The following is a 17,605-nucleotide window of genomic DNA, read 5'->3' on the forward strand; positions in this document are numbered from 1 at the left end:
ATTACATTTTTTAACATCTCATTGGCCAAATCAATACATGGCTGAATGCAGGGATAGAAATTGTGTCTGCCCCAACCCCATGGGAGGGGATTGCGAATTTATATGACAAAGCATGTGGATACAAGAAAGGGCAAAGCATTGTGACGGTCTTTGCAAAGTGTCGATTCTAGATCTTCTGACTCCAAACTTCGAAGCCTTATGAACAAGACCAAATAAACATTGTCAGCTGGTTTAGTTTAGATTTTATTTGATGTATCTAACTATTTCACTTTAAATTTTGCAGTGCTTCTAACTTATTTTGTATATTTAAAGATACTGATTAAAGGAAAAATTTCTTTGTGAGGACAACGCTCTTTATATGCCTTAGTTAACGGATGAGGAAACCTCAGCAGAGGGTTTAAGACACTTGCTAAATTTCCTTCTCTTCAGAGATAGTCAATGGTGTTTAGATTCGTTCCGTTTGTCAATGGAAACATTTGTTTCTGCAATTAAGCCTTATTAAATAGCAGAAAAGTGTACTTTATTGGGTGTAACTTTTTTTTCTTCTGTGTTTTACAGCTATATTTTATTTCCTTATATATTAAATATTTGAATGAATTTTTCCTAATCATGACACAGCCAGACTATATTTTTTCAATACTATAAAAGGGTTAAATATATTTCCATATGTGCAATACATGATTGAATATACATTGATCAATCAGGATTTTCCTGAAGAATACATAAAATTGTCATGGATAACTGTTAGTAATTATGTAGATGTCCAGAATAATCACCAGTTGTTACCAAAGCTGTCATATAAGAAACCACACCTCTGACATAAAAGTACACCTTATTTCCTTTAAACACAGAGTAACTGAATTTTATGGGAACCTTTTACTCTTCTGTGGTCCTTTATTGCCCAAAGTGATCACTAAGAAAAATTAATTAATATTCAAGGACAGGAATATGATATTTTTGTGACTTTCAATCCCAAGAGCAAAACCCAATTGTAGCTATAGGTTTTTCTCTGCAGCAATGAACCAGTGTATAATCAATTTGTGTTAGTCTAACACTGTATATATCAAGATGGTAAGTCTTGCTGGGCCTGTGCATTTGTTTCCTGTCTGAGCTCATATCAGGTTGCATATCTTTTAAGTCTAAGAGATGAGGCACAAACTGGGGTCTCAATGGTTGTAAAACACTTCTTTGTGTTTGACCTCAGTCATCTTTTAACAATCTCTCAGTGATGAACATTTATTTTAATCAATAGCTTCCATCTAGGTAAAACAACTTAATCATTAAAATTTCTGATACTTTAAATGAATTAATATTAATAATAGGAAATACATTTGCCCAGTGTTTTCAGTTCTCTCTTTTTCTTTCCTTCTCTTTCTTTCTTTCCTTCTTTCTTAATTGCTCTTTATCTGTTGCTCTCTTTTATTTTTCTCTTTGTTGTATTGTCAAGAATAGGTTTTCCTTGGATTATGGAGACTTTTGGGTATTGAAAAATGTTTCCTGTGATCTTAATCCAAAGAAATTAGGCTTTTAAAATATTTTTAAAAATTGAAAATACAATATACAAACTTGTAATTTCAAGCCTGAGTTTTGCACTATATGCACTGATTGAAATGTTTTTCTGATTTTTTCAAAAGTTTTTTATTTTGTAGTTTTATTTTTATGATTACTAACCCACTTTTTGCATAGTATGCAAGAAAAAAATATGGTATGTTGGAAAGTTTCTGCTAACTTGGAGCTAGAAATTCTGGCTCTGTAACGTTGCAGGCATCATTTAACTCTCAGGTTCTTCGTGTCTTAAATTTGAATAACAGTAATAATACCTCCTTTCTCTACTCCGACAATGGTTCATGAGGATAAAATAAATCACTAATGTGTGACTACCTTCTGTGTATTATAAATCTTTCCACAAATGCAGAGGCATGAGTTACAGAAAACAGATCTATTTCTTCTGATTTTTAAAGAAAATACTATAGTAAGATTTTAAAAATCACTCTCTATTGCTCTGTTGAGATAGGGTGCACCTTACATACCCACTTTCCTTTCTGAGCTCATGGGTCATACTAAACTAGGATTTAAAAATAATATTTGTTTGGTCCTTGTAAAGTGGCAGAAATCCTGTTAACAATAGCATGTGCCAGGATTTTGTTAAAGAAGTAAGAAATATTATTAGAAAAAAAGGTTTGTCTCTCTTGTAAGTACTTTGAGTCAACTTCAGGCTAGACAGAGGTATTCTCTGTGTTATTTCAGTCTAAGAAGCCTCTGATTCTACCCAGCTCCCATCTTGTTTATCATCACGATGACAGAAGGAAAAACCCAACATACTGGAATAATTTGTATCTAGGTTTGAGGCCTAGAGAAGAAAGAAACAAAAACAAAACAAAAACAAAAAAACAGGACTCCATGAGGAGGTAGATGAATTAAAATGCTAAAAAAATCAAGATGAGAAGAGAAAAAAGAGAGTTGGAGAGATTCTGTATGATTAACACAGATTGAGTCAGTATAAACTGATTTGGCACTGGAGGGTAAAAGTAAAAACCCTTTTGTTTTACACTCTAAACTCATGTGTTTAATAATACAATAATAAAACTTTTCAGAAATGAATTATTCCTTGCTGCATATACAAAGGCATAGCCAGGAGGCCACAATGTTTGCACTGAAATCAGGAATATACAAGTCTCAATCCTTTCCTCTTTTTATCAAGGGCCCAATGAAGCAATAATATGTATTCTAATCAACCAATTTACAAAGATATGATAAAGCAGCTCTATCCTTATGTTAATGAAGGTGTTGTTTACCATTTATTGAATGCCTGCCAGGTACCAGGCAGTGAACTGAGGAAATAAATTACAGTTGACATTATACAGTGACTTTGATTAAAAAAAGGTGAAATACAATTTATACACACAACTTAGAAAAAAACAAATCATGGTATGCTATATTAAGGAACATTCTTACTCTTTTACCACAACCACTTGCCCCAAACACACAGACACACATTTTCACATTTTGAAATCTGAAATTTAAAATATTTTCTGTGTATTCTAATATATTCTTTTTGTTTAGAGAAAAATTAATAGATACTAAAATGCAGTATTTATATGGAAATAAAAAAGAACTAGTTAAAAATTTTGTCAAAGAGTAAAGTGCAATGAATCACTCTATCAAATTTTAAGATTTATTATATGACTACCATAATCAAGTCTGTGTGCTATTGATGAAGAAAGTGTCTCATGAATTAATGGACAAAATAGAAAATCAACAAATACACCATCTAAGAGGAGACAATTGGTTTTTGACAAAGATGCAGAAGACATCCAACAGTGAAAAAATATTATTTTCAACAGATGGTGCTAGAAAATGAAATATTCATCAGGAAAAATCATTAGAACCTCAACCTAAATCTCTCATCTTGTATTAAAATGTATTGAAACTGAAACATGGACTTAGATGGAAAACGTAAAACTATAAAACTGTTAGAAGAAAACACAGTAAAATGTCTTCAGGACCTAAAATTTGATGACGAATTCTTAGACATAACACAAAAAGCATGATCCATGAAAGAAAACCAATTTGTATTCCAGAAAAACCAAACAATGCAATTAGAAAATGGCCAAATTCATTTCACCAAAGAGAATATACAGATGAAAAATACATGAAAAATTACTGAACATCATTAGATATTTGGGAAATGCAAATCAAAGTCATAGTGACATATTTCTTTACAACAATTAGGATGGTTATTATAAAAAAACAGAAAATAACAAATGTTGGTGTGAATGTGGAGAAATCAGAACACTCAGTCATTGCTGATGGGATTGAAAAAGGGTGCAGCCACTTTGGAAGACAGTTTGGCAGTGTTTTATACAACTAAGCATACTCTTAACATATGATGCAGCAATCGCTCTTCTTGGTATTTACCCAATTGGGTTGAAAACTAATGTCCACACATAGATCTTCACGCAAATGTTTATAGAAGTTTTGTTCACAATTGCCCAAACTTGGAAGCAACTAAGATGTCCTTCAGTGAGCGAATGGATAAACAGTAGCACAACATAGGATGAAATATCATTCAGTGTTAAAAAGAAATTATCTAATAAGCCATGGAAAGACATAGAAGAAACTTAAATGCACATTGCTAAGTCGAGGAAGCCAATCTGAAAAGGTTACATTTTGAGATTTCAACCATATGAGATTCTTTATGGAAAAGGCAAAACTATGGAGACAGCAAAAGGATCAGTGGTGGTCAGGGATTGGGAGGGAGGGAGGAATGAATAGGCAGAGCGCAGAGGATTTTTAGGGCAATGAAACTATTTCATATGATACTATAAAGGTGGATACCTGCCATTTTATGTTTATCAACCCCCAAAGAATGTACAAATTATAGAGTGAACTCTAATATATACAACTGACTTTATTAATTATAATATGTCAATACTGATTCATAAATTATAACAAATGCATCCCACTGATGCAAGATATTAATAATAAGAGAAACAGTGTATGGGGCAGGGAGAGGAGGGATTATATGGGAACTCTATACTTCTTGTTATAGAACAAGGGCCTATTAATTTTTAAAAAGTAAATATTAATAACAAAAAAGGAAAACAAAATCATATGCATTCGCAATAAAATACCACTTCACAAGCACTAGGATGGCTATACTCAAAAAGATAGATTACAAGTGTTTGTGAGGATTTAGAAAAATTGGGAGCAATGCCAGTTGTCTTAGCTGGAGCTACTAAAATCAAATGCCTTTACCTGAATGATTTAAACAACAAACACATATTTCTCAAAGTTTTGGAGGTATAGAAGTCTGAGATCAGGATGCTAGCAGGGGTGGGTGTTTAGTGAAAGCCCTCTTCTCAGTTTACGGACAGCAATCTTCTTTCTGTGACACACATGGTGGAAAGAGTGCTAGCTAACTCTCTGGACTCTTCTTATTGAGATACTAACATCATTCATGAGTACTCCAAACTCAGGACTTAATTAATCCCCAAAGGCCCCAAATATTATCACAGGGTTTCAACATATGAATTTTTGGAGAACACAGTGAGACCTACCACTACACTGGTGGAAAAGGAAAATGCTGCAACCACTTTTGAAAACAGTTTTGCAGATCATCAAAAGGCTAAACACAGAGTTACCATATGACCCATAAATCCCACTACTTTACTTATTTAAGAGAAATAAAAATATACATTTACACAGAAGCTTGTACACAAATGTTCAGACCAGCATTATTCATAATAGCCTCAAAGTGAAAATAACGCAACTGTTTATCAACTGATGGATAAATGAAACATGGTATATCCATACAATTGAATGCTATTTATCAATAAAAAGAAATAAATTACTGATACATGCTGCAATATGAAATCAACCTTGAACATATTTTGCAAAGTGAAAGAATCTAGTCACAAAAGACCACATATTGTCAGATTTCATTTATATTAAATGTCCATAATAGCCAGATCAATAGAGACAGAACAGAGATGAGCAGTTTTCTGAGTCAGAGGTCTGGGGAAGAGTGTGAATAGGAAATGAATGATAATGTGTATGGAGTTTCTTATCGGGTTAATGGAATATTTCTACAATTAGATTTCGGTGATGATTTTATAACTGTGAATATACTAAAAGTCACAAAATGTGTTAAATTGGTGAATTTTATGGTTTGTGAGTTGTACTTCAATCAAGGTGTTTAAAAAGGAGTCAAAATACCCACCAGAGCCAATAAAATACTGAAGGAGAAAAACAGAGTCAAAGGACTGATGCCACTTGATTTGAAAACTTACATGAGATTTTTTAAGCATTATTTTCATTTTCTTGTCCATTTTTGTTAATAAAAATGGCATATTGTACCAGTGGCTCCGAGGGAAAAGCAAAAATGTCTTATTCATAGTATATTTCTATACTGGATTCTTCCTATTTTAAATTATCGACAATTCTGATATTTTCAGCAATATGACATTTATATATTAGATACTTGACAATTGTTATGACAGCCATTACATGGCCCACTTTCTTAAACTCAGAGCAGTAAGAGGAAAAAAAGACAAAAAAGAAATTCTCTTTTCATGAGAATTCATCTTTTCATGAAAGGTTTTGTTCCCATAAAATTTTTGGCCATTAATTTTTTTCTTTCCTTTAAATCTTCCGAGTGTGTGATTTTGGAGCATTCTTATATATTATTATGTAGCTTCAGCTAAGTTTCTCCTGCTGATGTACCTCTTCAATGGATTTTTAAAACTGGAAGTGTCCATACACATGCACACACGCACACACACACACACACACACACACACACACGTAATTATAAATCATATAAAATACCTTTGAGTATTTCTTAAGTAGAAAAAAAGAGAAAGGAGGAAAGAAAGTACTAATTATCTACCTTTTCTAGTCTCCATCCCACTTTCTGATAGTAGATACAATATAAAAACAAAAGCTTGCTCTGGCAATAGTATGGGGAGCTGTGACATCACTTTTTTATTAATGTTGTGTGAACCTTGGAAAATGATAAATACATCTTTGGTTAGTACCATGAAAACCATCAGACCTTTAAAAACAGATATTATTCATGTAATTACTTGTTCAAGACTTGCTAATGTCCATAGGAAAATGTAGACCTTACCTTTCTTTGGCCTTTTGTGCTAAAAACCTTGTTTCTTTTATATATTTGCTGAATAGTTTATGTATTTTCAGAATGCAGGTGCTTTAAAATGATTGCAGGTTAAACAATGAAATTAGGGGATCGTCACTTTTAATTTTGCTGGGATATGAGAGCTTCATTGAATGCTTGGCTTGCTCGAAGATTCCATTTACATTATTGTTAGGAAGAACTTTGTATTATTAATGGTTCTCCGGAGAAGTGGAAACAACAGAATGTGTATGTGTGTGTGTCTGTGTGTGTGTGTATTTACTATAAGGAATTGGTTCACAAGTTCAGACCTAGGAGAGCCACTGGTATAGTTCCAGCCTATGTCTGAATCCAAAGGCAGAAGACAGATGTCTCAACTCAGTGAAAATCAATCAGTCAGAAAGAATTCTTTCTCACTTAGCCATTTATTCTATTCAGGACTTCGAGAGATTGGATGAGGCCCACACACATTGGGGGAGGACAATTTGTTGCACTCAGTCTACTGATAGAAATATTAATCTCATCCAGAAATGCTTTCACAGACACACCCATAAATAATGTTTCACCAAATATCTGGGTATTATAGAGCCAATTAAGTTGACACAAAGTTAACCATCACAGACTTATTTACTCTGCAATAGTCACTGGGCTTGCTTGCTTTTTTTTTTTCTTCTGCAAACAGAATAATAGAAAATCAAAACAGGATGGATTTCTCTTTATTAAAAGTCTCCAGACATCCTTCTTTTCTCATTTTTTTTCACCAGTCTTATGAACCAAAAAAAGCAACTCAAAGAAAAATCACTGTGCTATCCAAAATGTAGTATTTACTGCTTTTCCCCCAATTTGCTTTTCCTGACACTAACTAAATTTGATATCTATTTCTCCATTTAGCCTCCATAGAAGCACAGATCACCGTGGTACCCAGTAACTCTGGAAAATCCACTGGTAAGTACAGATACATCAGGAAGTAATAGAAGCTGTTTCTATATTATATAATTAAAGTCACCAGTGGTTAATTTTCTTACTAACCAATGAGTGTAAACATAGTATCAGAAAAGAGACAATAGCAGCGGTTATACCTGTCATAAGCAACCATATGAAACTGCTGTCTTTAAATAGTAAACTTTTTTCTTCTTTTTTTTGAAATGGAGTCTCACTCTGTCACCCAGGCTGTAATGTCGTGATACGACCTCAGCTCACTGCAACCTCCGCCTCCCAGGTTCAAGTGATTCTCCTGCCTCCGCCTCCCAAGTAGCTGGGATTACAGGCATGCAGCACCGCGTCTGAGTTTTTGTATTTTTGGTAGAGACGGGGTTTTGCCATGTTGGCCAGGCTTGTCTTAAATTCCTGACCTCAAGCCATCCACCCACCTTGGCCTCCCAAAGTGCTGGGAAAAATTGTAAACTTGTTTTAGTCCGTTCGTGCATTGCTATAAAGAAATACCTGAGACTGGGTGATTTATTTATTTTTTAAAAAAGAGGTTTAACTGGCTCATGACTTTACAAGCCGTACAGGAAGCATGATGCTGGCATCTGCTCAGCTTCTGGGGAGACATCAGGAAAGTTACAATCATGACGGAAGGCAAAGGGGGAGCAGCTCTTCACATACCCTGAGAAGGCGCAGGAGAGAGAGTAGGGAGGTGCCCCACACTTTTAAACAAGCAGATCTCACAAGAATTCACTAACATGACAACAACAGCAAGGGGGATGGTGTTAAACCATGAGAAACTGCCCCCATAATCCAATCACCTCCCACCAGGCCCCACCTCCAACACTGGGGATTACAACTGAACATGAGGTTTGGACTGGGATACAGATCCAAACCATATAAAAACTGTATTTATTTGAACATTTAATTGTGTCATTTATTGAACACTCATTAGTGAAACATTGACTAAATTCAAAGTATTGCAAAGTCTTTTCAGGTAACATAAAGATGAATAAAATATTCTACCTTAGATTTTAGCAGGAAAGATATGCAGGAAAACACCTAGCAATAGGGTTTAAACCTAAATAGCCATGCATCTATCCAATGTGAAGAATGAGGTAATTGACAGATTCAAGTAATTTTTAGAAGTCCAGGCAGGTAGCACTAAAAAGGCCTGAAAATGGCAATAAAGCTTTGGCCAGTTATGTGAACCAGGAAAATATGTCCAGTCTCTGACTGAGACTGAAAAAAGCAAAGAGAACAATGAAGAAATAGGTCAATTACCACAAGTGGAATTTCGGAATGGAACTCTATTTAGAAGAATTGGAGCACATCATGTGAGAAACCAGACATTTAGAATTAGGTCAGAACCCATTCAAGAGAAATACGGCACTTTACTGGGATCAGATTAATATCAAGGGCAACTGATGCTTAGTCAAAAATGTTGCTAAATTTAAAGGATTGTAGATATTACTCATTTCAGTTGAGATTTGATTTGGGGTTTTGGATGCTTTACTGAAACTTCTAGTGACAGAGTAACAAGTTACAGAAATCAAGGTCCCCAGCTTCGAGAAGCTGAAGTTTTACATCTTTTTCTTTCTTTCTATTTTATCATAGATTTTCTTCAGGCATAGATGATAAAAGGCACAGGTTTTATAGTTAAATGAGCTAGGATCAACACTTTTTGTTACTAAATGGGTGATATTATGTGAATCATTTAAGCTTCTCATCATTAGTTCCTTTACCTTTAAATGCTTACATGGTAAATTGATTGCATTGAAGGTCTTAATTTTTCACTTTTCCTATTGTGGGTGGAACATTTTGGCACACTCATTGGCTCTGGAAATAACTATGTGATATGAATTGATCAATGGAATTTTACCAAACATAATGCATAATAGAGTTTTTCAGTTATTTATTGCTGCATAAGAAATCACTCCTAAAATTAGTGACTGAAACAAAAACTATTTTATTTTTCCACAGTTTTGTGGGTCACAAACTTGGACTTGGCTCAGCTGCAGTTCTCTGCCAGTCTTGCCTGATGTGGCTTATGCAGATGCATTTATCTGGTGGTTGGATTTAGGGACTGGTTTTCCTAGTAGTTCTCAGCATGGTGGCTGGTCTTTGGCTGGGCTCCAAGAGGTCTCATACTCCAGTAGGCCTTATGGAGTTTCCTCACATAGTAATACAACTTTCCAAGAAGATGAAAGCAGAAGATGCAATGCCACATGAGGCCTATGCTCAGAAGTTAAACAATGTCACTTTGCCAAATTGTATAGGTCAAAGCAAATCACATGGCCACCCCAGATTCAATAAATGTGTAAACAGACACATTACAAAGAAGCATATATAAAGAGATGGGAGAAATAATTGTGGCTTTCTTTATAAACGATAAGACATACAAAGTGTGAAAAGTACTTGAATATTGGGTCTGGCTCTCTTGTTACTTTGGTTTAACTGCTATTACGCCCCCCAGCTAGCCTGCTGGAAGATGAGACACATGGAACAGAGCTATATGACTATATAAGCCCATTCTCACGTTGCTGTAAAGAACTGCCCAACACTGGGTAGTTTGTAAAGAAAGAGATTTAATTGACTCACAGTTCCACATGGCTAGGAAGGCCTCAGGAAACTTGCAATCATGGTGGAAGGGGAAGCAGGCGTGTCTTACATGGCAGCAGGTGAGAGAGCGTGAAAGGGGAAGAGTCCCTTATAAAACCATCAGATCTTGTGAGAACTCACTTATTATCATGAGATCAGCATGGAGGAAACGGCTCCCATTATCCAATCACCCCCCCACCAGTGTGCTCCCTTGACACGTGGGGATTATAGTGATTACAATTCAAGATGAAATTTGGGTGGGGACACAGTGCCAAGGCATATAAATGACACATCATTCCTATACTAGACTAGTCAGGAATCAGCTGACCTCCAGACATGAATGAGTCCAGCCAAGACCAACTAGCTAACACACAGCTGACTACAGATGCATGAGGGAATCCAGTCAAGATCTCAGAATCACCAATTTGACTCAAAGACTTATGAGCAATAAGCATTTGTTTTGTTTAAGCCACAAAATTTTAGGATATTTTAATAAAGGTACATTTTCAGAGGAGTTTTTTTGTGCAGATATAGGAGTGTGTATGTGTGGAGGGGTGCATGTATATGTGCATGTGTGTAATAAATGTGATAAAGGCTCTGTATAGTGCCTAGCATACAGGATGGTCAACAAGTGTCCACCAAATGGATAGATACAGATGCTAATGAATATTAGCAAATATCACAAAATTTTCCTCAAGAGTCTGTGGCATTAGGGTGTCACAAAAAACCCAACTTTGGATAATTGTAGATACATTTCTTTTTTTTTAAGTAAATTTTCTTTGGTGGATTGACTATGTATTTGAGCTAAGACTGATTACTTATATTATTTTACAACATACATCAGTGGGTTTCTCTGGGGAAGCCAGAAAAGCAGTGTGCTTTATGAGGCTGCTTTGACCGAGAACAATCTACTCAACGTTATCAAAGCTTTATGTTAAATGATTAGAAAACATGGATCAAAAAGTGACCTGCTTTGTTTGATCGCTTTCATGATTAATACAAAGTGATTTGATCTAATGCAAAACAGATCACTTTTTTCATTAATCATGAGAGTGATCTTTGCGTTAATCATGAACAAGTGATCTAAATCTCTGTTCGGTTAAGCTGCAGCAGTTACTATTACATTTTAGAGTAAGATTGTTTTCCTCTAGAAGCTTTGTGTCAAGATAGGATTTCATCATACAAGAAGAATATATCAAACACCCTCTTCTATGAGAGACTACTCCCAAACAGTACATAAAGAGGTAAAATTTGCTTTGGTTTGGGTGGACTGAATTCTAGCTAGTGTGTTTGCACATAGAATTTGTCTAGAAGGCAGCCTTAAAGTCTAACTAGGCATAATTTTACCATGTTTTAATGCATCATATGTTTAGGGCATTGTTTTTCAAATCTTTTATGTTTTCCACTTAGTTTTCAGAAAGAGAGAGAGAAATGTTTGTCAGTTGAAAAGAACTTACATGTAAAATAATTGAAAGATCTCATTCTGAAGCCCCTTAATTATTCTAATCTTGTTTTTATTGTCAACTGAAGAATGACAAGGTTCATGAATTTGGAAAGGAGAGCTTTATTTCTCATAAAAGGTTGCAGCTTTCAAGGTGGCCATTTTGACAGGCTAGGAAGCATAATCTCTGACTAGAAGTCAAAAACAGACACTTCAGGGGAGGGGAAAAGGGAACAAGAATTTTTACTGAACAGAATGGCCAAATATACATATTCAATAATCTATACGAGGAGTCATGAATATTTATGAGGAGAAATGTGTGCATGTGCAATTGAGATTTATGCCCCTCCATGAGTCCCATGTACAAAAAATTGCCACTTTAGCATAATTCTAGGGTGAACTTTTTGGCCCTCTGACATCAAAAGGTGAAGCAAGGACACAAAATACTTTACTGTGCATTCTCCATAGACTGGACAGAACCAGTGCATGGTTGGTGGTCTCTTATTAGGCAAGAAAGAAGGGGCAGCATCAGGTGGTTTGTTGATACCAGCAGTGGAATCTTTTGAAAGAGTTTGTTTCTGTTAAACCCTTAGGGAAGAAAGCATAATTATGGTTAGCGAGAGAGGGGAATAATAAGGTTTGTCTGACCATCCCCCATTCTATCATGGCTGAAAACTCAGTTTTCAAGTTTACTCTGTGGTCCCCTTGACCAAGAGAGGGTTCCCTCAGACAGTTGGGGCACTTAGACTTTTATTTTTAGGTTACAGTCTCCCCTTTTAGGCCAAAATCTGTCAGAGGCAACATCAGTGGCCAAAGTTTTATTTTGTTCCATATTGTTGCTGGGGTGGTGTGGCTACCTGCCCCAGGTTCACTGTGTCCCTCAGTGGGACCCCTATGGCCAAGGGACTTAGAGCCAAAAGACTTACAACCAGTTTAAACATTCTAGGCCAGACAGGAATGAAGGTGGGCAGGCACCCACCAACCCTTAATACCTTTTAAGCAACACAACCAAAAACCAAATCTAAAAAGCAAGATTACAAAACTGACTTATCCATAAGTTCTACATGTTAAGTTACTTTAATCTTGGCTTTAGTTACAGACTTGCAGCAATAAATTATACAAAACATAAATGTTTTGCTAAAACCATTTAAGTGAAGGAATCTAGAGACTTTTATTGTGTCATAATCTTTTTGTGATTTCTTTTTTAATCTGTTCTAAGGTGGCCCAAAATTTCTTGTATCTCCATTTATATAAACCCCATAACTGGTAACAACTATACCCAGAAGATTCTGTCACCAGATACCTTTTTATCCTTTCAGTAATTTTTTATGGTTGGGATGGAAAAAAAGCAGCCCCATAGTGGCCTAGCAGGCAAAGTCTCACAGTTTATCAGCTTTTTTAGGCATATGTGTGCTCATCCTTGATTAAGAAAGTCTGAACTAATTCTGTCCCTTGACACTGGCCCTTCCAACCTCATGCACTCTTCTGCAGTAGTCTCTGGGCCTAGAGGGAGGGTGCTTCTGTAATTTTAACAGCAGGATGTTGGTAATAAAAACCAGATCAGACCCAACGGGATTCCAAATGAGGAAAATTCAAAAACCTTGACAAGTCATCTCTAGCCTTTGAAATATCATGATTCTGATTTTCTTAGGAAAAGTAAGACAATAAGAGATAAATAACATTAATAAATAGACAATCAAAAGAGAATTAGTGTCAGAATGGAAAAAGAAGTTTATGCGATTAGGAAGCTAACTAAAACATCATGAAGAAAATGACAACCTGGTTATTCTTTAGAGGCTTATTGTAGCCAAGACGTAATTCATGATTCAATCCACCCTTAAAAACAAAGGTCAGGGCAGAAATTTAGTAATAGGACAGTTTTCCTTTGAAACATAATTTCTGTCTATCTAGTCCCCCTTTTCTACCAAAGAGAAATGATAGTAAAACCAATATGTGTGCAAATAAGTCTTAGGCTTATTTTTTTAGGCTTATAATACGTGACCTGATTGAAGTATCAAGTACAGAAAGAACTGATTGGCCATATAGGCCCTTTTTAAGTTGGCTTTGCTGGAACTTTACCTGCAAATATGTTATTCTAGTCAAAGCCTTGGTAAAACAACTGTGTCTCCAATTGCGTCCGGTTTCAAAGGAAAACAGATTCTTACTGAACTTATGCCAATAATTATATAGCCATAGAAGAAGAATACTCACGCATAATTTCCAGATTTTGAGGAACTCAGGAAGAGAAACTCTTCCCAAACTCTTATGGACCTCTTTTGGGGACTTCATTTGTACACTACTGTCTCCATTAGAGTGATTCAGCACAGGGTGTCCGGATCATTTTATGTCCTTCAGTCATGGGAGTGACTTCAGGTAGCATCCTGTAACCAGATAGTTAATGCCCCTCAAGTGGAAATTCTCTAGTCCAAATTCACAGTAGTTGTCATTGGAAGGCACCGTATTATTCCATTCTCGCATTGCTATAAGAAACTACCTGAGACTGGATAATTTATGAAGAAAAGAGGTTTAATTAACTAACAGTTCCATGGACTGTACAGTAAGCATGGCTAGGGAGGCCTCAGGAAACTTACAATCATAGTGGAAGGTGAAGTGGAAGCAAGCACTTCTTCACATGGTGACAAGAGAGAGAGTGAAAGGGGAAGTGCTACACACTTTTAACAACCAGGTCTCATGAGAAAGAACTGACTATCATGAGAACAGCAAGGCAAAGTCAGCTCCTGTGATCCAACCACCTCACATCAGGCCACTCCTCCAACATTCAAACCATGTCAGGGACTCACAGACTTTGGCCATATGCACCAGTAAACACTCCACAAAGGGCTATCAAGTGGAGAATTTGTCCATACCAGTATTCCAGCTCCCACTCTACAGTCAGTGGACTCAGACACTTTCCTTTCTTTCTTTTTTTCAGTCATGGTCTCATTCCGTCACCCAGGCTGGAGTGCGGTGGCACGATGACAGCTTACTGCAGCTTCAAACTCCTAGGCTCAAGTGATCCTCCCACTTCAAACTCCCTAGTAAGTGAGACTACAGGCACAAGCAACAATGTCCGGCTATTTTTTTTTTATTTTGTGTAGAGATGGGGTCTACTATCTTGCCCGGGCTAGTTTCAAAATTCTACGTTCATGTGATCCTCTCACCTTGGCCTCCAAAATTGCTGAGATTACAAATGTGAGCCACGATGCCTGGTGGCTCAGGCACTCTTACTGGTTCTTATTTGGCATATCCAATTAATATTGCTTACCAGGCAGACTTACATGTCTTCCTTTTTGTGGAATTGGGTAGGGGAAACATTCCCGAGTCAGATACAGTATCCATTTTCATAAAACATTTAGGTAAAGGAGTCACAACTACTTTACATAAAGCCTGTTTTAAACATTCTAACTTTCATAATCCTATATCTAGCAGTTTTAATTATACCTATTAACTACTATTCTAATTCTTAGTAACCCTGATTTTTAGTGAAAACCCTAGGATTAGTTAATTTATCATAACATGACTTTAAGATTTTTTTTACTGAAGAGAATTTTGAAACTTGTTTTATTTATCAAAGATTGCCAAAGTCATGTATACTAAAAGGCATTTGAGCTAGTTTCTATTTTTCTGATACAATATTTGATTTAAGCACTGAATTTTTATTTAAGCCAATTTATCAGAGCTCTTTCATATAATTTGGCAGTGAAATCAAAGAGAGAGGGGGAAGGAGTAAGGGAGGGGAGAGGAAAAAGGGGAGGGGGGGACCTGTAGAAAGAAAAAGAGAAAAAGGAGAATGAGAAACAGAAAACTCTTCTCCCTTCTCCCCCAAGGCATTTAATCACCTCTGAGTGTTACTTCAAGTGTTTCTTCCTTTTCAGAGCAAGATCCACCTATTAGCCTTGTATTATGCTGCAGAGGCAAATCTTTGAACAGAACAGAAATAGATTACTGACATAAGGCAAAAAAAAGTGAATGAAGAGATAAAATAATTTGGATTTTATTGACCAAAATCCAAGCACTCTTAATGTCCAAATCTGCTCTTAGATGACTGGAGTTTAATCTCTTTTGTGACTGTAACAAATATAATAGTGGGCTAGCAGTGACTGATGTTACAGGTATGTATCCAGATGCACAGAACAGCACGAAATTTATTTCTAAGAAGTCCCACATAATAAATAAACAGAGTTGCTATTATCATTATTACTAATAAGTGACATAAATAGAAAAACATGCTTTCAAATATTCTATCCCAGATAGTAGAGTATTTTTATAAGCAAAATATTAGCTTCACAGATTTGTTGTTCCTGGTTGCTGAAGCAAAGAATTCAGGCAAGGAATTGGAGGAATTTGTTTCTCAACCTTTTCCCATTAATACCTAGTCAGTATTTGATCTTGGGCAAGTGCCCCAACCTCTGAATTTTAGATTTTTTCCAATTTAACTTACTTGCCTAAAAATATTGCAAACAAGATAACATTTTTATGAAGGAAAAATACTCTATGGAAAGCAGTATAGAGGATAAAGTTTCATTTTTGCCTATACTTATAATAATAATTGGACTTAAAATAATAATTTGGACTCTTTCATCAGGAATAAACTGCCTACTTCATGAGTTCCTATATAAATAAATCTAATATTTTCAGTTGTTGTTCTTCAGAGTCTTTAAATTACATTGTATTTTTTATAAAAATAATATTAATTTCATCACTCATTATTCTTCCTTATATGGGGTTCTCAATATTAGAAGCTTTCTTTCAAAATTTATAATCATTCCTTGATATTATTATCATTTTATAGATAAAATGACCTTGAGTTTAGAAGATTTAATTAACTTGTTCGAAATCATTGAAGAACTAGAAATGTATTCCTATTATGTGAGATTATATCCAATATGTATATAGCCCATGGCTACAAGGAGAGTGGAATCTGGTAGCAAAGAAAAGTTCAGATGTAACTGTTACTACAGTTGAAGAGAGATAGTGGTAAACACTATAAAAGTAAAATAGAAAAAAGTAAAGAAATATTGGAAATAATAGAGATTATCTCTACATATAGGGATCAAGAAGAAGCTAAAATTTGAGAAGGATATTAAAGGGTCTGGAAATATAAAAATGCAGAGGCAGAGAAATATCAATTTGACTAGCAGAGCCTTAATGATACATTTGTGGAAATAAAATTAAGAGATGATATTTGGGACATTCTGTACATACATTTCTCTTTTGTCTTTTCAAACACATGACTTTGCTCTGGCTGTCTCAGGGTGTTCATATGCCTGGAGTGACAGTGAGACTTGTTCTCATGGAAAGGAAAATGGAGAACTGAGGCAAGATTTATAATATGCAAAAAGGAGATGTTTTTGTCAAAGTGATTTTAAAAACAAAAGAAATATCTAAAATTATTTATCATCCAGTGATCATCTCAATTACTAAATTAGAGGGACTTAACTCATCAAATTTCTTCCGTAATGTAGTAAACAGAACTTTTTCTCCTGGAGTAACCAAACTATAAGGCTAGCTTCTCCAGAGAGAGAAATATTTGATTTGAGGAAGGAAAAGAAAATCTTTCATGCTGAATCAGTGAGTGTCTAGAGGAAGAAAGAGAAAGAGGAAGGCAGAGGTGATTAGTTAATAAAACTAAATAGGGGTGGAGTGGGGTTTTGCCCATGGCCTCTATTGGGCTGTCTGGAAAGAAAACTATTTGCAAACCATCCTGTACTAACCTGATGCACAGTGAGCTGTGCTGTCCTGGGTACTCAAATGTCATACACCAAACAAGACATGGCCAAGGTGCCTGCAGGTAAGTTTCCAGAGGCAATGTCATGGCAGAGGCAGAGTAGCTCTTTTGTAAGTTTTTCCTGTGAGGGAGCCATATCCAAATAAAAGTCATAGTGAATTATCAGAGGGTTCAAAGTCAAAGTCCACAAACTAGGAGAATGTGAGTTAAGGCATACTCAGCTAGAGTTACCAGTTTACAAATATAAATCAGAAATGTACAAGAGCTACAG

The sequence above is a fragment of the Homo sapiens genome, chromosome 4 (assembly GCF_000001405.40).
Source record: "Homo sapiens chromosome 4, GRCh38.p14 Primary Assembly".
NCBI classification, from domain to species: domain Eukaryota; kingdom Metazoa; phylum Chordata; class Mammalia; order Primates; family Hominidae; genus Homo; species Homo sapiens.